General features: G+C 52.8%; 1 protein-coding gene and 1 pseudogene across 4 annotated transcripts, besides 1 other annotated feature; both read right to left on the bottom strand.

Moving 5' to 3' along the window:
- Positions 1 to 723: 723 nt before the first annotated feature.
- ANXA8L1 (annexin A8 like 1) lies at positions 724 to 16,726 on the bottom strand. Of its 3 annotated transcripts, NM_001098845.3 has the most exons (12): positions 16,630 to 16,726; positions 12,527 to 12,617; positions 11,262 to 11,356; positions 9,810 to 9,923; positions 8,956 to 9,046; positions 8,217 to 8,296; positions 7,669 to 7,728; positions 7,029 to 7,122; positions 6,695 to 6,790; positions 4,858 to 4,916; positions 3,987 to 4,109; positions 724 to 1,631 (listed from the first exon to the last, which is right to left on the bottom strand). In NM_001098845.3, exons 1-12 carry the CDS (start codon positions 16,648 to 16,650, stop codon positions 1,572 to 1,574), a joined length of 984 nt encoding a protein of 327 aa, NP_001092315.2. In that variant the 5' UTR covers positions 16,651 to 16,726; the 3' UTR covers positions 724 to 1,571. The 3 variants fall into 3 exon arrangements, with proteins under 3 accessions (NP_001092315.2, NP_001265852.1, NP_001265853.1); NM_001278923.2 differs by lacking the exons at positions 8,217 to 8,296; positions 8,956 to 9,046; NM_001278924.2 differs by lacking the exons at positions 6,695 to 6,790; positions 8,217 to 8,296; positions 8,956 to 9,046 and having other exon boundaries at positions 11,262 to 11,470.
- Positions 10,712 to 11,253: an enhancer, noted in NCBI's record as "H3K4me1 hESC enhancer chr10:47752508-47753049 (GRCh37/hg19 assembly coordinates)". NCBI's record gives its function as "activates a minimal SCP1, AML or CMV promoter by ChIP-STARR-seq in primed H9 embryonic stem cells {active_cell/tissue: H9 hESC(primed)}" and the evidence as "EXISTENCE:reporter gene assay evidence [ECO:0000049][PMID:30033119]".
- Positions 16,727 to 18,938: 2,212 nt separating the features above from the next.
- On the bottom strand, positions 18,939 to 23,415 carry FAM25BP (family with sequence similarity 25 member B, pseudogene; annotated as a pseudogene). The gene is made up of 3 exons (NR_104039.1): positions 23,317 to 23,415; positions 21,301 to 21,363; positions 18,939 to 19,125 (listed from the first exon to the last, which is right to left on the bottom strand). The product of NR_104039.1 is annotated as a family with sequence similarity 25 member B, pseudogene (transcript).
- Positions 23,416 to 23,752: the final 337 nt, after the last annotated feature.

Here is a 23,752-nt window from a genome sequence, read left to right as displayed (position 1 = left end):
CAAACTGGAGCATGTTCAGGGGTGATGGCCCCAAACAGGCTCCAGGAGGGACCACTGAAGGGACTGGGGACACTGGGCTTTGACAGAGGTCATCGCAGAATTTGTGGGCCTTCTTCAGATATCCAAAATGTTGTTACTGGGAGGGAATAAGTGTTGTGGCCCTAGATGGCAGAGGTGTGGGCTTGATGCGGCTGATTTTGGTTCAGGTAAAACAAGAACTTTGCTGGTCACATCCATTGGAAAAAGATTGGGCTGTCAAAGGACGCAGTGAGTCCCATCTTTGGAGGCAGCCAAGTGCACCCGGAGTACTCAACTGCACCCTGAGTATCACCAGTACACCCTGAGTACCCAAGTGCACCCCAAGCACACCAAGGACCACCCCTGGGTGGATGCCAAGGGGGTAGTCAGGCCACAGGTCGGAACAGCACCAGCTGACTTTAAATCCCTCTCTAACCCTGAGATACAAGGATGTAGCCTACACATCAGGAGGTGAATAGAATCTACCCTCATTTGCAAGAGTTGTCCCCAGGGCAGCGGTGGCTGCAGCCCATCCAGTGTTCCCACTGGGAGATGCCCACGAGGTGCTCAGGTACAGCCCATCCAGTGTTCCCACTGGGAGATGCCCACGAGGCGCTCAGGCTTCGTGGCTCCCCAAAGCTCTGTTTCTGACAAATTAAATTGGTCCTACACTGGTCCCTGCTAAACATCCAAAGATACTTTGAGTTGAATACAAATCTTTATTATTTTGAAAACCACAGCAAAGGCACTTCAGAATCTCCAGGTACCCAGTCTCAGTTGCCGTTCAGTGGGGACAAGAGTGGTGCTGAGGGCATGGTCACACCCTTCTGTGCTGCATGCAGAGGGGTGCAAGGCCAGGGCAGCTGACCTGGTCAGCCACCAGGGGAGCCCACGCCTCTTATAACACAGTGTCCTTGGGTCAGGAATTTGTAGTTTATTTTGTTATTAAGATGGCGAGAGAATTTTTCGTCCATTTAGAGCCTAACATTTTTAGATGAATGTTAATGGCATCTCGGTTGGGATGGATTCGTGTTCATTTCTCAGCTGCTGAAGGATGTGTGTTCTAAAACAAAAGGGCTCCCAGCCAGCTCTCCGGCTGCATGATAGAGAAGTGTTTTGTAAGACGCTTGTTAAAAACCCATATTCCCTGGCCCCTCTTGTGGAGACCCTGTTTCAGTAGATGGGAATGGGGCTGGGGTCTGTATAACCTGTGCCCAGGAGACTCTGTGACCAGCTTGGGAAGCTCCTGCAGGGAGGAAGGAATGATCCACAAGTCCCCAAGCCCTTCATGCTGAGGCATCTGTCTGGCTGGAGAAACACTAAGGTTGGCATTGTGCTCACACTGGGAAATGACCTGGAGGAAGTTGGGAAGAGGAGTCCAGGCCGGTTCCACCCTCTGGGTCAGAAACCCGGCTGGAAAGCACTGGAAATAGGGAAATAGAAGACCGAAAGGCTGGGACCCCCCTCACACCCAACCTGCGTCCATGGCCGAGGTTGAGTGAGGAGTCCTGGAGACTCTGGCTTCATGGTCTTTGCTCTTGTTCTTCTGTGCCTCAGGGGTCGCTGCCCACCAGGCTCAGCAGGGCGTTCTTGTAGTCGCCGCTGGTGTCTTCCTGTGGGTAGGAGGCGCATAAGCGTGAGAAGGGGTTTGTTTGTGCCTGGCTCGGCAGTGGCGGCTGTGTTATTATGACTAAGAGGTGTGCCCCTGGCCTGCACCTGGCCCGGCCCTCCAGGGTTCCTAGCCGCAGGGGTTGTGCCATCACCCCTCTTTCCTGGTTTTTAATTTCAGGCTATTCCTTTACATTTCCTTTTGATTCTCTTACCAACTACATGCAGGATTGATGTGGAAAATGAATCAGAGACAGTTCCACTCCTAAACAAGGAAGGGGTCAGCTGTCCCAGGGTTCTTCTATTCGGGAGCCAGGGTGCCCAGCCATTCATTTACACAACACGATGCATCATTATTCAACACCTGCTGTGGCAGCTTGGGAATCAAGGCTGAGAGTGAGGCATCAGCACACACCTGGGAGCAGGGCCGGGGGTGGAGGGAGCCTGGACCATCGCACCCTGACGGTGTGGCCGAGGCAAGCCCCTTCACCTCTGTGGGACTCATCTATGAAATGAGATCAATGCTGTGCTGCTGTGCATCTTGCTGAGACGTGGTGAGGGTACAGCAGGAGGAAGGCGAGCTGGTCTGCCCTGCATCTGGCTCACATCGGGTCCACAGTGTTTGTCTCCTGATGAGACTGACCTTGTGGTCCGATGACTGAGGAGCCCTGTTTCTTAGATACTGGTAGGTCCTGATGGGACTGGCTAGTCCGGGGTCTGCATACAGAGCTGGGAAATGGGCCAGGTCAGATCACCCAGATTCTTCTTCATGCAGTTGAGGACAGCGGGGCCAAGAGAGGGGAGTGAATTCATTCACAACGGCATGGTGAGTAAGGGGTAGACTGGGGCTAGACCCACTTTCCACACTCTGGACCAGTTTAGGTCTCATGGTTATTGTCTACTTTTCACCATTTAGTAAAATTTGCCTGCTTTGAGCCTGAAATCTCATTACGGGTTTCAAACTACAATGAAATTTTTTTAACTTTTTCCTTTCTAGACACGGTCTCACTCTGTCACCCAGGCTGGAGTGCAGTGATGCAGTCCTAGCTCACGGCAGCCTTGGACTCCTGGGCTCAAGCGATCCTCCTGCGTTGGCCTCCCAAAGCACTGGGATTACAGGTGTGGGCCACTACGCCTGGTGATTTTTATTATTTTGAAGACAATTTTTCTAATAGTTTTTAGAAAGAAAAGCATTAATTTTGTTTACTTTTTCAAATACATGAGTTATACTTGAAGTGTTTATACATTTGCCTCTTAATTTCAATGCAGGAGTTTTTAACTCATATTAGTGTTGAAAACCATTTTTGCTTTAATGACATCTGTGGTCTACACTAAAAAGAAAATGTTTGGTCAATGTATTCATGATTCTAACTCAATTTTCTTAAGTAACAACATTAGATAAAATTTGAAGAGGGTGGCTTCATGTATCTGTAGAAATCTCTCTGATGCCGTAAGTTACCATGTGTGGTTAAAAGGGTTAATGACAATCAGCTCAGACTGTCTGCAGGTGACAGCACAGTCCAGGCTGGTGTGTGCCTTGCCCTCCTGTCTCCCGACAAGATTGGCTGGGGAGCCTCAAGTGAAACCAAGAATAATTCCAATCCTCTCTTGCCCCTGCCCACCTGTTTCAAGATGTTGCCATCTTGAAACATCTGGAAACAGAAATGTCTTTTCCACCTATTGTCAGCTATGTGTTTCTTGAAAAGTGCACTTAACAACGACATTTGCAGAAGAGCTAGAGACTTGACTTAGTAGCCAAAGAAAACTTGGGGATACATTTGTCCTAATGTGACTTCTGCTAATGAAATCATCAAGACCTCAATTTGCAGACACCCCCAGAAGAGCTGTTTCTCCCAATTATCGCAGCGTGATAATCAGTCTGTGTTTTGAAGGCTCCAGAACTTTTGCTAATTGGAATCTGGTTAGATAGTCTATTGGCGCTCATCTGACTTATCTCCTTAGAAGTTGGCCGCCAGGACTACTTAAATCTGGATTTGAGCGGTGGGCCCGATTCCTACCGGACTAGTTCATCTCATTGACTATTCAGAGGTGGCTTCTTCTGCAAGGATTTGGTGTCTTTTCCAAGGAGCAACCATAACTTAAATGTGAAACCAACTTTCTGAGTGGGACACAGGGGAGCCTCTGTGCCCTGGTCTCTGCATCTCCCCTCTGCCCCCCATTCCCCTTGGGATCCAGCCACACTGACCTCTGCTGTTCCCTGCACACACCACATGGTCATGAATGCAAGCACATGGTGCCCACTGGGAAGGGAGGGGCTCACGTAGTGTTGGCCACAGCCTCCAGGTTTCCCTGAATGTCTGGGTTTCAGGCTGGCCTCAGCATTGGGAATGCCTGCTTACCATGATCATGCTGCTGAGGGTCTTGCCGTACATCTTCTTGAAGTGACATTTGATAAGATTTAAGTCAATCTCGCTCCTTGAAACGATGTTTCTTATCAGGGTCCCATCACGCGTCCCTGCTCCCTGGGCAAGACAGCAGCCATCAACAATCCTGCCTCACCTTTCCTGTCCATCTCTGAGTGATGGACGGATCTGTGTGGTTGGGTTCTGGGGCTTTTAGAGGGAGGGAGATGTGGGAAGGAGCCTGTGCTTCAGCCAGGGAAGCATTAGGAGGGAAGCTTTGGTGGCTTAGGGTGTCCACTCCCTTAATTCCTTCTCACCCACTGCCCAGAACTCTTCCTTTATGATGCCAAGTGCTCCAAACTGCAGTATGTTTGGTTTGCCACATCAGATTCTAGACACAAAATACTCACTGCTCCAGGAACAAGACTTCCTACTAGAGCAATGGCAGCAATCAGCTCAGCCAGGAATTTCACAGGCAGGGCCTTCCTGCTCACCTTCATCCCTGACCAGTCTCATGTCAGCTGGGGCCACATGGCCAAGGGAATCGCATGCCCTCTCTCATTTCCTGGGCAGAAGTGGCCAGAGGGCTTGGGTTTCGGGTGTGGAACTAACTTCAGGGGATATCAGCAACCATCAATCAGAGAAAACGGGCAATGGTTTTAGTTTCAGGGAATTATTCACCTCTGGAGATGCAGCGTCCCTTTCCCAGACTCAATTTCACCTCCGAGAACTAAAACCTTTCTGATCCACGACAGGTTTGGGTAAGATAACTCCCCCGTGTGGAGGATCGTGGTGGCTTTGAGCTCCTTGGCTTTGCACTTGGTGCTATGTAGGGTGAGCGTCAGGAAGAAGAAGACAGGACAGTTACCTTCATGGCATAGTAGAGTCTCTCTGCAAAGTAGCTGTGGAGGTTTTGGGTGCATTTCACTGGCAAACAAGAAAGCTGTGTTAATGTCTGGAGCTGGTAGGTGGCACTGCCTACAACTTTATGTCTTGCCTTAGGTCTTAAGAGTCAGTGTTGTGCAAGGCTTGGCATATTTCTTTGTTCCGTGCCTTTCCCAATGTGAGAGGCTTTGTGTCAGGTGGCGTGGGACAGGGAAGGTAGCCCGGGGCACTGGGCACAGCTCCAAAGGCCCAAGCAGGCAGGCAAAAGGGTAAGATGTGAAATGCACCAGACTGTGGGGCTCGTCTGAAGACACCAGCTCAAGCCCATCCAAGGGCAGCTCAGACTCAGGACAGGCCCTGGGCTCTCAACCCAGAGACACCTCCACCAAAAATCCAGCCTCTCAGCTCCACAGAAGCACCATGGGATGGTGGCTGCTGGCCTCAGAGTGCCCTCTCTCTCACACTTATCAGCAGAAACCCTGCATTTTGAATTCCCATGTGACAAGTGGAGTTTGGCCCCACAGGACTAAGGCACCTGGGGGCGTCTGGTCCAGAGACTGGGCCCATGCTTGCTCCCATGGGTACTGCTCAGAGACTTGGCATCTGGGTGGGGAAGGTTGGCATTTTCACTTAGGGCTGCAGAAGGAGCATGGGCTTTGAGTGAGGTAGGCATGTGTTCACTTCCTGCCTTGATGGTGCAGTATGGCTTCATTACTCAACCTCCCTGACTCATCTGGGAAGTGAGACTGATGCGAGGCTTCAAGGTGAAGTGAATAGGAAGGCCCAGCATGACGGAGCACTGCATGGCTTCACTATTCCCTGCTGGCAGACTTCATTCTTGGTGGGTTCAGGCCAGATCCAGGGGTGGAAGCTGAGATTGGAGCAGGGGTGTGATTAGATGTCCTGACATAGACCGGATTGTATCACAGCATCCAAGGCCAGCTGGGGTGTCTCAGATGGCCCTGTCCACCCAGAGAGGCTAGGAAACAGCAGGGAGCCTGCTGGCTGCTGGCTTTGCACGGAGGCAGCCTGGTGTGGAGGTGAGAGCTGCAGGCCAGGAGTCCGGACCTGGGCTCTGTGTGTAAGTGGGAGAAGAGACGTCCCTCTGCCCTGGGCCTCAGCTCTTTACTCTGCAGTGACTCTTCCCATTGTGATCTCAGCCCTGGAACCCATGAGAGCTCTGGAGTGGGTCCTCCTGAGTGGCCCTGACTTCCTGCTGTGGGGAAGATCCCCAGTGTTTCTCAGCATCAGACCATCCGTCACTCAGTTTGGACTCAAGCCACACATCACTGTTTCTTCAACTGGCAATGAAGGCAGGGGCCAGGCCCCTGGTTCATGTCCAGAAAGATGACTTTGTGCTGGCCAGGGCTTCACAACCACAGCCAGAGTGCTCCCTGCATGGCTGCCATGAGTACACACAGGGTTGGGGCTGGCATAATCACTGGCGTATGCATTTGTGTGCGCACACACACACACTGTCTGTCTCACACACACACACTCACATTCCACCCACAGTCATGCACACACACCCTCAGGCACACACACTCTCACGCACACACACACTCATGCAGACACACCCACACAGCACTGGGCACCACGTGGGCAGCACAGAGAACAATCTTTGGCAGCACACACTGGGACTCTAGAGGTGGAGCAGTCCCTGGGTGAGGGAGACAGGCAGAGTGTGAGTCGGGGGGACATCCCGTGAAGGTGACACAGGGATTCTTTCTCTTGTGGTCGCATCCCTAGGCCCTTTGTTCTTTGGTGCTGCCCCACGGTGAGCCCTGTGGCCTGAAAAACGTGCAAGTCTGAGCTCTTACCCACAGTGAGCATGGCCTCCTCCAGTGAGCCATGGGTCTCACTCTTGATGCTGTCCTCAATGCTCTTGTTGGCAATTTTCTCATACTCTTCAAACACTGTGGAGAGGGCTCTGCTCAGGGGATGGTCAGACCTCCTCGTGATGCCCCTCAGTGTCTCGGATCAGAGATCGCACATCAATTTGCCGCCCTGACCTCCCACTGGTGGCTGGGGAAACAGTCCTGGGCTCCCTGGCTCTCTCCCTAACTCTAGACTTGACAAGGCAGAAGCACGAGGGAGAGGCTCATGGCCAGGACACCCCTGTGGCCCCGGCCCCAGCCCCTCCCTCCCTGGTACCTCTCAGCAGGTGAGTGGCACTGCGCGTGCACAGGATGGTGATGAATTTCATCTCATCAGTCCCACGAATCTTCTCGCCTGCCGCATACAGATCCTAGCATTGGGACACCCACAATAAGCCAGTGAGGGAGACCAGGGAGGTGAGGGACTGAGCCCCAGAGTCCCAGAGCTGTGGCCATGGCCTGGCCCTGTCCACTCTGCCAGGCCAGCATGCTCCCCTGCTTGGTCGTCTCTGACAGGGAGCTCCCCTTTCTCTAGCAGCTCTGGCTTAGAATATTTTCTCTATCCTGGGCCACAAGCTGCTCTAGGAACTGCCTGGTCCCCAGACTTCCCTCTGCCAGCAGGCAGACCTACAGAGACCCGGACACCTGTGTCCAGCACTGGGGCCTAGCGCCCCCGGGTTCATGGGCTGTTCCTGCCAGGACAGAGCTTTAGTGCTCCCCCACCCCCAAGTCACACTCCTTCCTCCCGAGTCTCCCAACACCCTCACTCTCCTCCCCAGACACCACAGGACAAAGGCCTATAGGGAGCTGAGCTGGGTGGGTCCCAGCCCAGTGTCAGAGAAAGCCCCCGTGGGCAGAGGAGCCGGAGTCCAGATGGCAGGGGGTGGGGCCACATGGCCGGCTGGGCGCAGCCTCACCTGTGCGTCTTGGAGGGCCAGTGCCGGGTCCACAAAGCTGCTCACATCATCCCTGCTGCCCTAGGAACAGAGGAGGTGGCTCTGTAAGGCAGGCCAGCTGACCAGAGCATTAAGGGCACAGGGGGGATCCTGGGCTTGGAGGGTAGGCATGGCTCTGCTGCTCTTTGGCTGTGGAAACTTCGACAAGCCAGTTATTCTCTTCAGCCCTTGGTTTCCTCATTTGTACAACGGGGGTGGTAAGGACTGCCTCATAAGGCTTGGCGGATTCAGTGAGCTAAGGTAAGCAAAGTGCCTGGCATGAGGTCTGCACGAAGGACCTGCTCTCCTCCCGCTTCCAGGATGCTCTCACATGGCTGAGTAAGGACAAGTGTGGGGGCTCTGCAGTTGGGACCCTCTAACCATGCTGAGACACACCCAATGAGCCCTGGCTGCTGGGCTATCCCATGCCCATACCCTGACTCTTGTGGCGCTATTCAAGGGCTGCTCCCTGGGGTGGAGCTGTTGGGACTCCCAAACCAAGGCACTCCCAAGAGCCTAGGCTGTGACACCTGCAGGAGGCACACCAGGATCCTCTCCAGGTAGCCACTTGTGTCTGCTTGGATGTCCTCCTCCAGGCTGGACCCATAGTCTGCAGGGAAACAGGACCATGAGGCACAAGCAGAGGCCCACAGCCTACCCGGGGCCTGCTTTCCTCCTTCCAGCCCTGTTCCCCATACTTCTCCTTATTAAAGCCTTCTAGGAAAGAAAGTCCTTGGCACAGGGCATGGATGCAATGCCCGGGTGTCCAAGTGGCTGTCGCCTGGGTGGTGCTTCACAACTAGAAGCGACATGCGTACCCAACCAAGCTCAAAGCACAAGATGGACCAGGTCAGAGAGCCAGGCTAGGGGCTGCCAACCAAGCTCCATTTCATCTCAAGGCTTGGCAAAGCCAAAGCCTCCAGGAAAACTCCCCACTAGGTACATGATGTGGAGGACTGACTGGCCTCTGCTAGCCTGGGGTCCACACCCCCTACTACCACAGTCCTCAAGGGCAGAGATTTTAGTTGGTCACAGGCCTCTCTCCCCTGTAAGAGGAGCTGGTGAGCTTACAGATCAAGTCTGAATCATGTTCAGTGTCACCATCAGGCACAGATCTTGGCATACGGTAGGTGCTCAGCACCTGTGGGTAAAAAAGTCCCCAAAGGGTCCTTTCTAGTGTGGCCCAGGTTAATTCTTGATCCTTGTTCCCTGCCAGGCTGCCAAAGCTTGTGGCCACTCCTGAGCCCCTCCATCTGTGCCACCCCTTACCTTCCTCATACGCCTTCATTATCTCCCGCAGCTGGTTCTTGGTCCGAGAGGCCAGGATCTCAATGATGACACCCTCCTTGGTTCCTAAGCCCTGTGGACAGAAACCTCTGCCTGCTGGAGTGCTCTGCCATGACCTTCTGCTCTGTCCACACCTTCTTTTCTCAAGATGCCTGAGCCTCAGGAAGGACCTCACTGCCCTGCCCCACTTGAAGTGGGAGGATGTGATGAGAAAATCACATGCTTGTCTTCAGTGATGAACATTGAGGGCAAGTGCTGTGACGGGGAAGCCCTGTCTCAGCTCTCCCTCCTTAGCTGGGTGGTCTCAGACAGGCTGCTCCATGTCCTGGAGCCTAAGCATCCCGATCCATAAACAGGAATAAGAAGCCTCCCCTGCGCCAAAGATAGATTAGGGAGCGTGGGTGTAAAATGCCTGGCAGTGCCCATGCAGCAAGTGTCTTTCCAAACAAAATGACTATAGTTACTGGGTCCCCATCCTTATTAATCTGCAAAAGCAAAGAGTAGTGAGAGGTAAAGGGAAACCCAAGGGGCTGTGCCTGGGACTGTAGAGGTGGGTTTCCAATACCACTGTACACCTGAGCTCGTGAGGTTCTGAGAAGTACTGATTTTGGCTTCATCACGGCCACTCAACGTGTCAATCAGGCACCAGTGACTCCAGGTGTTGGGTGCAGTCTGAGCAGCAGGCTGCCTGCTCACTGGGCCCAGTTATGGCCCATATGGCCATTCCAAACAGTGGCTCAAGGGGAGCTCTGGGCTGTAGGTTCCCGGTCCCCGCATTGCCCCTACCCAGTCATGTGAGCACCCCTGCCACTCCCCTGCCCTGTCTGCCTGGTTACCTTCATGGCGTCATGCAGCTCCTTGGCTTCGTATCTGTATGGCGGATACATAAGGGCCACAATGAGCCTCTCAAACTTGCCACTGAGCTCAGACTTCAAGGTCTCAGTGAGGTCCTAATGCGGGAACAGGGAAAGGTGATATTTGTCATAAGCCAGGCCCACCTGAGTGCAGGCAGCGGAGTGGTGGCTGGGTCCAGGGGCTTGGGCTGGATTCTGCATGGGCCTTGCCACGTGCTGGCTGGGTTTCTTGGGCCAGCTCCTTAGCTTCTCTTAGCATCAGTATCTTTACCGGTTACACGGAGAGAAACGTGCTCCTGCTTCATCCCGTTGCTTAGGGGGTTGTGTGTGACTCAATTCAGCATTCAGTGCAGTGCTGGGCACATCATAAGCTCTCAGTAAAATGAAATTGGTATTGCTAGCTAGACTGCAAGCTCTGAGTATGGCATCACCATAAAATACCTGTCACTTGGCACTCAATGAATGAATGCATGCCTGAATTAAAGACTTCGTCTCACATGTGCCTCCTTCTAAGGTCACATGTTGCTACGAGGAGCCACCAGGCTACATCAGCTGATCTACAGAGCAGCAGAGAGATCAAGGGCTTTGTCAGACCTGGATTTTAATCCCCACCTTGTTGATTACAGGCTCTGGGACCTTGGGCAACTTAAAACCTCTCTGAGTGCCAGTTTCCCCAAATGTTTGAATACAAAGAATGTATCACTGTGAGGACTAAGAGAGGGAAACTGTAAAAATGCATACTGGGTTCTCCAAGAGAATATTTGAGCTGATCTTCCTTCGTTACATCTCCAAACTAATGATATGAGTCACTAGAGGCTTGAGGCAACCATGGCTGTGCACATATTTAATCCTGTGTTTACTGTGTACCCCCAAATGTCAGGCTTTGTCCTAGGGGTGGAGTGCAGGTGGGAGGAGAAACAAAGGGCCTGGCATGCTTACTCCAGGCTCTTAGAATTCCCAGGTGGCAGAAGGGACGAGGTGTGGGTGCAAGCAGCTCGACTGAGGAAAGCATGCCCACGCCCCAGAACAGAGCAAAGCCAGGCCTGCATGCCTGGGGCATGGAAAAGAGAAGGTGGTCTGGGCTCAGAGGGCAGGGCGAGATAGCCTGGGGGCAGGGAGACAGACCTCCAGTGGGGCCTGTTGGGTGCATGAGAAGGAATGCTGTGAGAGAAGAGGCAGGAAAGGAAGCAAGGAAGGCCAGCCCCCGGCCCGGGCTCTGACACCTAAAAGTAGATCTGCCAGATAAAACACAGGGCAGCCAGTTACATTTGAATTTCAATAAAGAACAATTGTTTTCATGCAAACAGGTTCCATGTGCCCATGCTACCAGTGGGCTGGCTCTAGGGGAAAGTCGTCCAGAATGGAGCTGCCTCCCAGGCTGTACCCCCAACCCCAAGGCTCACCTATCCCCACCCCCACCAGCCTTCCCCTTGCCTTGCCGAACTGAGCCTTGAAGGACTTGGCGATCTGCTGCCGCTGCGTGTTGCTTCTCTTGGTGAGCACATCGATGATAGCCTGCTCGTTGGTCCCTGCAGGGTTACAGCACAAGTGACCCTGCTGCCCCCAGGGTGACACACTGGTGAGGGCGGAGGAGGGGAAGGCGAAGGCAGCTGCTTGGTGGCTGAGCAGTTGGGACCCGACACCTGGATAGTTCCAAACCCCCAGACCATTTTCGTGGTGTAAACAAGACCCTTAGGAAATCTGCCTCCCCATTTCCCACCCCACACCCCCACAATGTTGGGGCGTGCCCAAGGCCAGCCTCACAAGATGGAATCTGAGGTCTGGGTGGCTCTGGACATCAGCCCGGGCCTTTGGAGCTTGGCCGAGTGAGATCTCTGGCCCTGCCCTCCTTTGTGTTGGTCGCAGTAGGGGAAGGTCAAGACTAAGAGTCCAACCCCTGAATCCGAGGCCTGGCCCAGCAACTGCGTGGCATTGGGCAGCCAGCCTCATTTCCCTGGGCCTCCGTTTTCTCATTTGGGAAGTGGAGATAACTTTCTGCTTCACAGAAAGCAGAGGGCATGAGAACGTTTTCTGGGCTTGTCAGGAGCGGCAGTTCTCATTAAGGCCCCTGATCCTCAGGCAGAGCCGGCTAAGGGGTCAGTCCCACCTGGGGTGAGGTCAGGGTACATGCTCTGCTCTCAGGTCAGGAGGGCTTTCTGGGCAAGCTGTTTAAATCTGGCCTCAGGCCAGCCCTCGCCCACTCACGGTAGTGCTGAGGGCAGCACTGGGCAAGTGCAGGAGATGGGAAGGGAGCCGGCTCCATGGCCATCGACATGGGGCAAGGGGGCCTTGAATCAGCCCCACAAACTCCCAACACCTCACACCCCTGGCAGCTCTGTGCCTGGCATCATAAAGCACCACCCCCTTCACACTTCATGTGACACACAAGGCCAAGAATTCTTGGGGCCACTTTACAAGTGAGAAAGCTGAGACTGATGGGAAGTCACTCACAGAGACACACAGCTCACCTCCCCACCCCCATTACCCAGGGAAGAGCAGCACCCTCCTGTCCAGTCTTGCAGGGTGGGTGCTGACCTCACTGCAGAAACAGAGGGCTGTGTGATTCTCTGGGTAGTGGAATCAGTTTCAGAGTATCATGGGACACCCCAGCTCCCCAGATGTCCCCTGGCACCCGCTTTCCAGGGCTGTGAGCGGAGGGGTCTTGAGCAGAGGTGGCAAGGCTGCCAACACCCACTCACCGATCCCCTTCATGGCTTTGTAGAGGGTCTCTGCATCAGGGTCTGGGTTGAAGTGGGAGCTGCTCTTCACTGTGACACCCTCCTGTTCAATCTGCAAGAGAACCAGGCCTGCTCAAAGCAGGCAGGGACAGGGAGGGCAGAGCAGGCTCCCAGCCCATCTGGTAGCCCGCCCTGACAGGGTGAGCCCCTTCCCTGGGCACGGAGATCTGCTCAGCCCTTGCAGGCCAGTGCTCTGCCCTTCAGCCCCTTGGCCAACAGGGTGGAGTAGCCAGAGCCAGAGCTTGTGGGGAGAAGCCACAAAACCTTTCCTGTCCCTGTCTGTGCCATCTGACTGCAGACAGCAGCCCCAGCCACACCCAGCTCCTTCCAGCATCACCCACCAGCAGCAGGAAGGGACAAACTCACCCAAAGTTAGGAGGGGAAAGAACACTGAAGCAAAGGCTTCCTGGAGCTGCATGCACCACCTTCAGAGTGTGCAGATGAGGTTGGAAGGCTGAGCATGGTTCTGCCTTTCTGAGGAATGGTTTGAGCTCAGTCTGCCCTCTTCCTGGGGAGTTGGGACTTACAGCAACTTAGAGGGCAGGGGCCCAGCTGAGCATATTGATAGTTCAGGGTGTTTGCAAGTCCACAGGCCCATGGGGCTCAGAGCGTCAGGTTTAGAAAAACCCGCACGATGCTCTGCAGATTGTGAAATAAACCAGATAACCAAGTGCCTGAGCCCTTGATTTCCAAGCCTCCAGTTCAGGGCTTGCCTGAGGGCTCTTTAAACTTGTGCCCTGCAGAATTTCTCAGATGATTAACATGGACATAAGTGTGTTTTGGGTGGAGGAATGGTAGAGAATGGAGGGATATTGGAGATAGGTATTGAATTAGAGGGAGACTCAGAGATCCTCCAGGATGAAAAAGAGTTTAGTCCCATCCAGTCTTGTCTTCCATTTACCTGTTCACTTATTCCTTCCATCACCTCCATCATCTGCCCATCTACTTTCCCACCTACGCACTTACCCATTTGACTACCACATCCATCCATCCATCCACCCACCCATCCATCTATGCACCCGCCCATCCATCCATCCATCCATCCATCCATCCATCCATCGAAGCCCTGGGTTAGATTGTGAAAATACAGAGATTCCAATGGATGGTATATCTGTAAGTATCTTTCCTTTGAGTAAGAGGTAAGGCATCTTTCTGAACTCTTTGCTTTAATTTCAAATGTCTGGTGACAGATCTTCCTGAGTCATTTCTTAGCACCATGTTTCACAGCAGAAATTGTTAGAAATAATTCCTATGGAAATTCCATCCAGAGAGAGCCAGTGTGGTCCCAGATATTGCTCATCGGTGTCCACACACACGATATCCCTTGCTTGTGGAGTCACGCTCTGCTATTACTCCTGTTAGCACTTCAAGCCCCTTGTGTGTGCCAGACCTGGGCCAGGTGCTTTAGAAGCAATGCTTATGTCATGGCTTCCTCAACAGTTGTGCTAGGTAAGTACTGATGCCTCACTTTACAGAAAGGGAGCTGGACTCCCTTACACAGCTAGTAAGTGATGCTGTTGGGACTCCCCAGCCTGACTCAGAAGCTGAGCTCTATCTACCTCCCCTGCCCTACTGATGACTCCACCTTTCCCAGACAATGAGTGTTCCTGGAACGTTCCACTGAAGGAAGCTTCACCCACAGGAACGCAGGTCGTCTGGGAATGTGGGAGGCATCTCAGCTCTCAGTGCCTGCCGGCTTCCCTCTGCCCCAGCACTCGGGGGCTGTGGTGCACCAGCGAGTGGCCAGGCTGTGTAACCACATCCCTGAGGAGCATGCAGTCCCGCAGGGGTGCGGTAGGTCTCAGGTGCAGCATTTGTAAGCAGCTCCCTGGCTGGTTCTGATTTTGCTGCATTGAGAAGCCTCTGTCTCACTTCCCACTCTAAGGTTTTAGAAAATAAGTGTTCTGGGAATCGGAGCCCTGGCTATCAGTGTGGAGTCCTGGAGCTCCAGACCTCCTGCTGAGAAGGAAGGGTCAGCCTCAGGCTCCTGCAGGGTCTTGCCCAGGGCCGTGCTAGTCCAGACAGGCACATTTTCACTGAAAAGGTGACTCAGACCAGCCTGTGACTACATCTATTAATATAACTTGTTCTGTGACAGGCACAGGGGAGCTGCCATGCCTTGGCCTTCCCCTGCTACGTGGCTGCCCAGAGGCCTGGGAGATGGGTTTGTCTCTATGAGAGACACAGAGGAAAAGGCAACACCAAAAAGAGAGGTGCAGATGGGCCCTGCCTGCAGACAGATCTCTCTCCAGTGGCTCCCTCATCTCCTCCCATCCCGTTCCTGGCCCAGCTTTGTGCCTAGAGGACACTGGGTCTTCGCTAGCAGCTCAGCTGTTGCAGGTGGGGTCTACCTGTGAACTTGCTACCCCGAGCCAGCTCTCACATGGGGTATGGACGACCAGGGTATGGTTTTGGCCCTGGAGTCAGGCTGTTCAGATTCTCACCTAGACTCTCACACTTACTAGTGAGTTCGGGCACCTGCCTAGCCTACTTGTGCCTCAGTTTCCTCATCTGTGGATAAGGATACTGGTGTCTACTTCATAGACTCCTTGTGAGGTTCAAGGGAGATATTGAATGTGAGGTGCTTAGAGAAGGGTCCGGCCACAGAGTAGGGACTCAGTGAGTGTCACAGTGATCCTGTCAATTTGGCAGGTCCCTACATGGACAGCCCTTTGTCCTGCTGCACTGGGTGCAAGGCCCAGTGCCAGACTGCCTTGGCCAGCAACTGACTTTGGAAACCACCCAGCACTGGGCTCTCCCTGCCATGTCCACCTCCTCAAAGGCAGGTTCCCAGCAGTCTGGTTGAAGCTGCAGGCCTCCATGGCCCCTTGTCCTGGAAGAAGGCTGCTTCCCTGGGGGCCAGGACAGCTGCCCCACCTCAGCCTGGCTTCCTCTTTGTCCCACCTGTCCAGAACCTAGCATGTCTGACCCTGAGGACACTTGCTTGGGTTGCGACATCTATGATCCAGAGACTCCCTGAAGCTGTACAAGCCTGGGTATCCCACAAAAGCTCACAGAGAACCTGGGGCTGGGCAGAGAGACCCAACTGCTCTCTGACTGGAGCCTGCTGGCCATTGGACCCTAGCAAGTCACTCAGTGTCTCTGAGCCTTCATTTCATCATCTGCAAAACAGAAAGTGCAGCCCTGACATCCTGAGGCTGCCTGGGAGGAAAGGAAAAGGGTGTGCAGAGCCGGGAGCCGGGAGATGTCACCTCTGTCCCCTTCTGGATATTCAACTCCTTAGCACAGCGATGGCCTCAGGCTCAACCATAGACAGAAAGCTCCCGAGAACCCATCAGTTCTGCTGGGCATGGGCTGCCCTGAGCCCCGGGTTCCTCCAGGCTCTAGCAGGCTAGGTCCTCCTGCTTCCCCTCTTCCCTCTCCAGTCTTGACAAATGAACATCATTGATCCCTGAGGTGAAGGCATTGATGGGTCCCCAACAGCAGGTTCAGGTTACTCTCATGCTCAAAGCCCTTCAGTGCCTTCCCACTTCTCTTAAGGTAAAGCCTAACTCCTCAGCCTGCCAGGCAAGGCCTTTCAGGACCTGGCCCTGCCTGCTTCCCCAGGTCCATCTCCTCCGGTACCAGGACCCTTGAGCTGTGCTGAGCAGCTTCCCTCAAAGCCAAGCTCCCCGCCCTCTGACCCTCTGCACACAGTTCCCTCTGCCAGGAGCAGTATGCCTGATTCTCCCCAAATGCACACGTGTGTGCACCCCATACACATTTACACACAAGGCTCAACCATGATACCCCCTCCTTTGAGTGGCCCCACCCCTGCAAGGGTCCCTCCCCTGGACTCTTCTCAAACCTCAGCTTCCCCCTTGCATTTCTAGATTTCTTCATCAGCCTGTCTCCCGGCCCAGGTCCCATCCCTGCCGTGGGCACTCTAGGCCTGGGACTGTTTCTTCTCGGCCCCTTCCCACCCTCCATGCTTGGCCCAGGAGGCAGCCAAATGTAGACTGAGCCACTCCCAGCCAAGGGCGACTTTACATTTCTCAGGACTCCCTGGTGACCAGCACCCAACACCATGCAGGAACGCAAATCTCCTGCCAGCTCCCACTTACCCAGGCTTTCCACCAGGCCATCTCTTTCACTTCGGGGGCACCTTTCTCACGGAGATGAAGAGACACAGGTTGGCCTCTGCTGGGACTCCACACGTCTGGCTCCTGCAGCTGAGGAGTGAGCAGGCCGCTCACTTGGGTGTGGGGGTGCAAGCCCTCCCAGGGCAGCGCTACACCTGCCTGCCGCCCCCTCGCCCCCGGGCTCTGCCTGGCTTTGGGCGTCTCCTGTGGCTCCCAGGCCCCACCCAGACACTGCCCAGGCCTGCTCTGGGGAATTACACAACTCACTGGCAGATATTTGGGCTGTGGCTGTTACGCATACTGGAAATTCTTAGCTCCAGCCTGCGAAAGCCCCACTCAGTAAACACAGCTCCATGTTGATTAGGCTGGTCTCAAACTCCCGACCTCAGGTGATCTGCCCACCTTGGCCTACCAAAGTGCTGGGATTACAGGTGTGAGCCACCGCACCCAGCCCATTTTCATCATTCCTAATAGCCATGGAGTATGCCATTTAATCAACTGTATATGCAATATTATTTTTTTTTCCGGGGGCAAGGGGCTCATATTCATCACAGATGGGAGGCCAGTTGGTGAGAAGGTGGCAGGCGGCACAGCCACCTTATACAGCATGCCATACTGGTCCACTGTCAGACCGGTGATGGCCTCAGCTCCATCACCCCCCAGGCTGACTCTGGCTCCTGCCTGGCTCTGCCCAGCCACCACAGCCCCTCGGGACCATTCAGAGGCATCACTGGAGGATGTGTGGTTAGTGGAGCAGCTGGTCATGGGGAGGTCTCGTTTCTTTGGTGGAAGGCATTCCACCTTCTCTCATGAGAAGAAAGAGAGAGGGCCAGGCATCTTGCCCACTACTACCCACTATCAACACTTAGGCCTGACATCAGTCTCTAAATAAATATTCTGGGCCAGGTGCAGTGGCTCACGCCTGTAATCCCAGCACTTTGGGAGGCCAAGGCAGGTGGATCATGAGGTCAGGAGATCGAGACCATCTTGGCTAACATGGTGAAACCCCATCTCTACTAAAAATACAAAAAATTAGCCAGGAGTGGTGGCGGGCACCTGTAGTCCCAGCTACTGGGGAGGTTGAGGCAGGAGAATTGTTTGAACCCAGGAGGCAGAGGTTACAGTGAGCCAAGAACATGCCACTGCACTCCTGCCTGGGCAACAGAGTGAAACTCCGTCTTTAAAAAAAAAAAATCAACAGCAGCTTCTAGGATGATGAGCAGTGACTCAGTCTCTCCTTGACCAGATTCTGTAACTGTCCAGCAGAAATGCTTATCTGATCTCTGCGAGAACAGGAAGCAGCTCAGTGGGGGCCTTCCTTGCTAAATTCTTCATCAAGCTGGTCTGTTATCTGCCCTGAGTCCTGCAAGAACATCTCAAGAAAAATCCCAAAAACATGCAAGACAAATGAGGGTCCTCCCTTAGCATGTCTTGAAGCACTGAGGCACCTGAAAGCTGTATATAGTTTCTGGGGAAACAGTTTTTTAGGAAATGTAGCACAGACACTAACTATTCTTCCAGAAGAGCCCCTTCCTGACATGAAAGATCTTACTTAGCATGACAGAGAAGCATCTGTTTCATCATGAGGACCTATCCAACCAGCAGCAGGGGCCCCAGTGCCAGTGTCCACCTCAGCAGAGGAGACACGGGGGACATGCAAAGTGTTTCTGTTGAAAAATACTTCACCTAGGGTGACTATAGTTAGCAGCAATGTATTGTATATTTCAAAGTAGCTAGAAGGCTAGGTACAGTATCCCATGCCTATAATCCCAGCATTTTGGGAGGCCCAGGCAGGCAGATCACCTGAGGTCAGGAGTTTGAGACCAGCCTGGCTAACATGGTGAAACCCCATCTCTACTAAAAATAAAAACAATAAAAAATAATAATAATAAAAATTAGCCGGACATGGTGGCCTGCGCTTGTAGTCCAAGCTACTTGGGAGGCTGAGGCAGGAGAATTGCTTGAACCTGGGAGGCAGAGGTTGCAGTGAGCCGAGATCACACCATTGCCCTCCAGCCTGGGCGACAGAGCAAGACTCTGTCTCAAAACAAAAACAAAAACAAAAACAAAAAAACAAAGTAGCTAGAAGAAGGGACTTGAAATGTACCCAACACATAGTAATACCAAATATTCAAGGTGATAGACACCCCAAACACCCTGATTGATCACTATTCTGTGCATGTAATAAATACTTAAATGTACTCCATAAATATGTAAAATATGTTATGTCAACAAGAAAATACTTTGCCTAGTGTTTCCATCCAAATGGGAATAAATCCAGCGCTCAATGTACACGTCATGGCTTTTTATTGAGACTGGGGAAGGGCCGTGGTAGCAGGTGCACTCACTGTCCAAGTTTGTCCAGACTTTCTGCTGCATGGGTGATGGCATTTGTGACTGTGTTGGTCACTGTCTCGGTGATTTCCTTCATCTTTTTGTCCCCTGACTCCTGGGCTTTCTTTATGGCTTCAGCAATGGCTGTTGGAAAGAGGAAGAATGTCCTAGTGATCCACCTGCTGAACTTGTGTCCCCTTGAGTGGCCTGTGGGATGTGGCCATCTTAATGGATTAGTCTCTGGAGTGGCCCGATGGGACCAAGGGCAGCAGGATTACTGCAGAATGAATTTGAATTTGGTTTTAATTTCCCCAACAACTTGCATTTCTTCAACTGTGAGTGAGACTGAGCATCTACTCATGGGTACATTGCCTGCTTATCCTTTTTTCTGGAAAATGCCTGCTTATGTCTTTTGACCATTTTTATATTGGGTTGTTATACTGGATTATCATTTTTATGACAAATATTTTTCATCAGTGTATAATTTTTCTTTTGGCTTGGTTTATAGTGTTTTTTTTTTTTTTGGCTATAGAAAATTTCAGTTTTGGATTGTCAAATTTACTTAATATTTCCTTTATGGCGCTGATTTTTTTGTCATAGTTCTAAAGATTCTCCCCTCTCCAAGATTAGGCCAAAGTCTCTGAAGTTATTACTATGTCTAAATGTTTATGATGTCTTCCCCCTCAAAACTCATATGCTGAAATCCTCAGTCTTAATGTAATGATATTAAGGGGTGGGGCCTTTGGGAGGTTGAAATTAGCACCCACATAAAAGAGACCACGGAGAGCTAGCTCCTTCCACCATGTGAGGACAGAGCTGGGCCCATCCATGAACCAGAAAGACTCCCTCACCAGATGCCAAATGTGCCAGTGCCTTCCTTGATCTTGGACTTCCCATCCTCCAGGAGTGTGAGAAATAAATTTCTGTTGTTTCTAAGTCACCCAGTTTATGGTTTGTTTTTGTTTTTGAGACAGAGTCTTGCTCTGTCACCCAGGCTGGAGTGCAGTGGTGCAATCTCAGCTCACTGCAACCTCCACCTCCCAGGTTCAAGGGAGTCTCCTGCCTCAGACTCCTGAGTAGCTGGGATTACAGGCATGTGCCACCATGCCCAGCTGGTCTTTGTATTTTTAGTAGCAATGGGGTTTTACCATATTGGTCAGGCTGGTCTCGAACTCCTGACCTCAGGTGGCCCACCCGCCTTGGCTTCCCGAAGGGCTAGGATTACAGGCGTGAGCCACTGCACCTGGCCTATGGTATTTTATAATAGCAGCCTGAGCTAAGATGGTTATCTCCTAGTAAGTTAATAAATTCATTTATGTAAATGTAAGTCCTTCATCTACCTGGAATCTATTTTGTTGAAAAGGAATGAGATATACACATGCTTTGTACATAGTACTACTCATAGCTCACACACATCAATTTAACATTTAACATAGAATTTTACATGTTAAATTTTTTTTTTTTTTTTTTTTTTTTTTTGAGACAGAGTATCACACTGTCGCCCAGGCTGGAGTGCAGTGGCGCGATCTCGGCTCACTGCAAGCTCCACCTTCCAGGTTCACGCCATTCTCCTGCCTCAGCCTCCCGAGTAGCTAGGACTACAGGTGCCCGCCACCGTGCCCAGCTAATTTTTTGTATTTTTAGTAGAGATGGGGTTTCACCGTGGTCTGGATCTCCTGACCTCATGATCCGCCCACCTCAGCCTCCCAAAGTGCTGGGATTACAGGCGTGAGCCACCGCCCCCAGAAATTTTTTTTTTCTTTTTTTTTGAGACCGAGTCTCGCTCTGTAGCCCAGGCTGGAGTGCAGTGGCATGATCTAGGCTCACTGCAAGCTCTGCCTCCCAGGTACACACCATTCTCCTGCCTCAGCCTCCCAAGTAGCTGGGACTATAGGCACCCACCACCATGCCCGGCTAATTTTTATGTATTTTTAGTAGAGACGGGGTTTCACCGTGTTAGCCAGGATGGTCTCGATCTCCTGACCTCGTGATCCACCCTCCTCAGCCTCCCAAAGTGCTGGGATTACAGGCATGAGCCACCGCGCCCTGCCATGTTAAATGTTTTGTCCCAGTGTGCTGTCACATAGTCTTGTGTGACTTTGTCTTCTTATTCCACAGAGAGAACCATCTGGACAGTGTCCTAACGCAGTACAGTCTGTGGCCTCTGATGAGCATAGATAACTGCCCCAGCCAAGAGGCTCTGAAAGGCTGCAACATTAGGGGCAGAGTTTGACCTGGTTAGTCAAAGAACAGGTTGGCCCAGCACCTAGCTTCCCTTCCTCCCTCCCTCCTTCCCTGCCCGACCTCAGCCGGCTGTACCTTTCTCTCCAGTCTCCTTGGCATGTCCCACCACCTCCTTCACCACTTCCTCCACGGCATGAACTGAACAGAGGAGACAAGTCCAGGGTGAGGGCTCAGAGCAGGCCGGCTGCCCCCGAGTCCAGGGTGAGGGTTCAGAGCAGAGCCGCTGCCCTCCCAGTCCAGGGTGAGGGCTCAGAGCAGGCCCACTGCCCTCCCAGTCCAGGGTGAGGGCTCAGGGCTGGCTTATCCTCACAACAGACCTATACATCCCTGGGCATCCTAGATGGGGCTCTGGGGTGCCACCCCCAGCCAGGACAGACTGGCTCATGAGAAGGACCTTCCCCCACAGCTGGCTTCATTTGGAGATGCCAGGGCCTTGGCTGCTGGGAGACGAGCTCAATGAGCCCCATGAGGGCATGGGTCCCTGAAGCCCCTTGGCCCTGCCCGGCCTGGAATGGCAATGAGCAGGCAGTCTTGCCAGCTGAGACATGAAGCCCAGGCTGGGCCTGTGTGCCAGGTCACACCCCTCTCAGGATGTGCTAGCGCCTGCCTCAGGTTGGTTTCCAAAGCCTCATCCAGTAAGACCAGGTCTCTCAAAGCAATTCCTCCAACAAAACGGAATTCTCTGCCTACTTCAGAGTTTTTTAAAGTGTGGGTGGTAGTGTGCTAGAACTGAAGGATTTCAGAGTCAGAAGAAATGGTTCTTATTCTAACTCTACCTTCCACCTCTTGGTTCCCTCATCTTTAGAATGGGAATCTGTTGGGATGATGAGACCCAACACCAGGTCACGGGGGCGGCAAGTCCAGCGGAGTCAAAGGAATGAGAAAGAGACAGTTCGAGAGAGAAAATGGGAGCAGGGCGCTATCGCGAGTGTGGAGGCTGCGAAGGCCCCGAGTTCTGGGAGCCCACGCTATTTATTGGTGATCTAACAAAGAAACAGGTGGTGAGGATGTGGAGGTTGAAAGGCAACAGTGTATCAAATGAATGAGAAACATATGGCTACTTGAGAGAATGGCAGTGCTAGAAGCAAGGAGCCAGCAAGTCTAGCAAGCCCTGCCTCAGCTTTTCTCCCAACGCTGAGCTTTTCTCCCAACAGGAATCATAAAAAACTCAGAGGCTAGTGAAAGGTTAAAGCAGGTGGTCCACACCAGCTGCAGAGTCAAAAACAAAATACGCATCTGCTGCCATTTAGAAAGAGGACACAAACTCAGGCAAGACTTTTTCACACGATGACCCATGAGTGGGGCCTGGCTGGGCCTCCCCACACATACCTGCTGACCTCTGAATACAACATACACTTCGGGACCAGGTGCAGTGGTTCACGCCTGTAATCCCAGCACTTTGGGAGGCCAAGAGGAATGGATCACTTGAGGTCAGGAGTTTGAGACCAGCCTGGCCAAAATGGCGAAACCCCGTCTCTGCTAAAAATACAAAAATTAGTCGGGCGTGGTGGTGGGTGCCTGTAATCCCAGCTACTCAGGAGGCTGAGGCATGAGAATCACTTTGAACCCAGGAGGCAAAGGTTACAGTGAGCCGAGATCGCACCACTACACTCCAGCCTGGGTGCCAGAGCAAGACTCCATTTCAAATACAAATACAAATAAAAATAAACATGCTTTAGGGGACTTGGATGAAATTGAAAATGCCCTTTTTGACTTTGAACAGACTTGGTGACTTGTTAAGAAATCTTTGAAGCTTTAAAGTTATGGTAAAAATAAAAATCCATCTTCCTTTTCCTGCATAGGTTATTCAGAATAGGCTGTTTTGACAAGAAAGGCTCCCCAGATTTCCAGAGGGAAGGGTCCAAGCTGCCAGTGTTCACCCAGCACCAGGACTCATGCCCTGCCCCCAGGAGACCTCCCCAGGTCTGCACCCCTCAACTCCGTGCTGACTTGGTAGAGCAGGAGACCAGGGTTCCTGAGGGGCCAAGGCCTCTCCGCAGGTCCTCGCCTGCCTACGTAGATCCGCCTCCCACAGACTCAGTCTGCCCCAGATCCCCCCAGCCCAGGTAGAAAGGAGCCCCGGGTCCTCACTGGCTCCCTAGGTGGCCTTCTCGGTGCGGTGGGCCAGGCCCTCGGCAGCCAGCTTCCCCAGGCCTCCCAGCATCGTGTGGCAGCAGACAGTGGCAAACTAGGATGCTGAGGACTGGCCCAACATGCTTTTATAGCTGCCTCTGGTGCCTGTCTAGGCTCTGGGGCAATAAGCCCTCACCCCAGCCCAGTAGGAGGCTGGACAGGTGAGTCAGTGAGGGCGGCAGCAGGAAGGGGCTGGGCGGAGCCACCCTGGAACTAGGGTGGCAGCATCCCCTGACAGCATGAGGCTTCTGTAACCCTGTCCTAGGGACCCCGTGAAGGATAGGGGCAGGGAGCAGGGCTGGACAGTAGAGATCTGGACATGCTTCTTCCTTGAGGCAGAGGGCCTGAGTGCCAGCCCCCCTGAGACCAAAGCTTCCCAAGCCTGGGTACTGAT

The sequence above is a fragment of the Homo sapiens genome, chromosome 10 (genome assembly GCF_000001405.40).
Source record: "Homo sapiens chromosome 10, GRCh38.p14 Primary Assembly".
NCBI classification, from domain to species: domain Eukaryota; kingdom Metazoa; phylum Chordata; class Mammalia; order Primates; family Hominidae; genus Homo; species Homo sapiens.
Note: the sequence above shows the minus strand (reverse complement) of the source record. Positions and strands in the feature narration are given on the sequence as shown.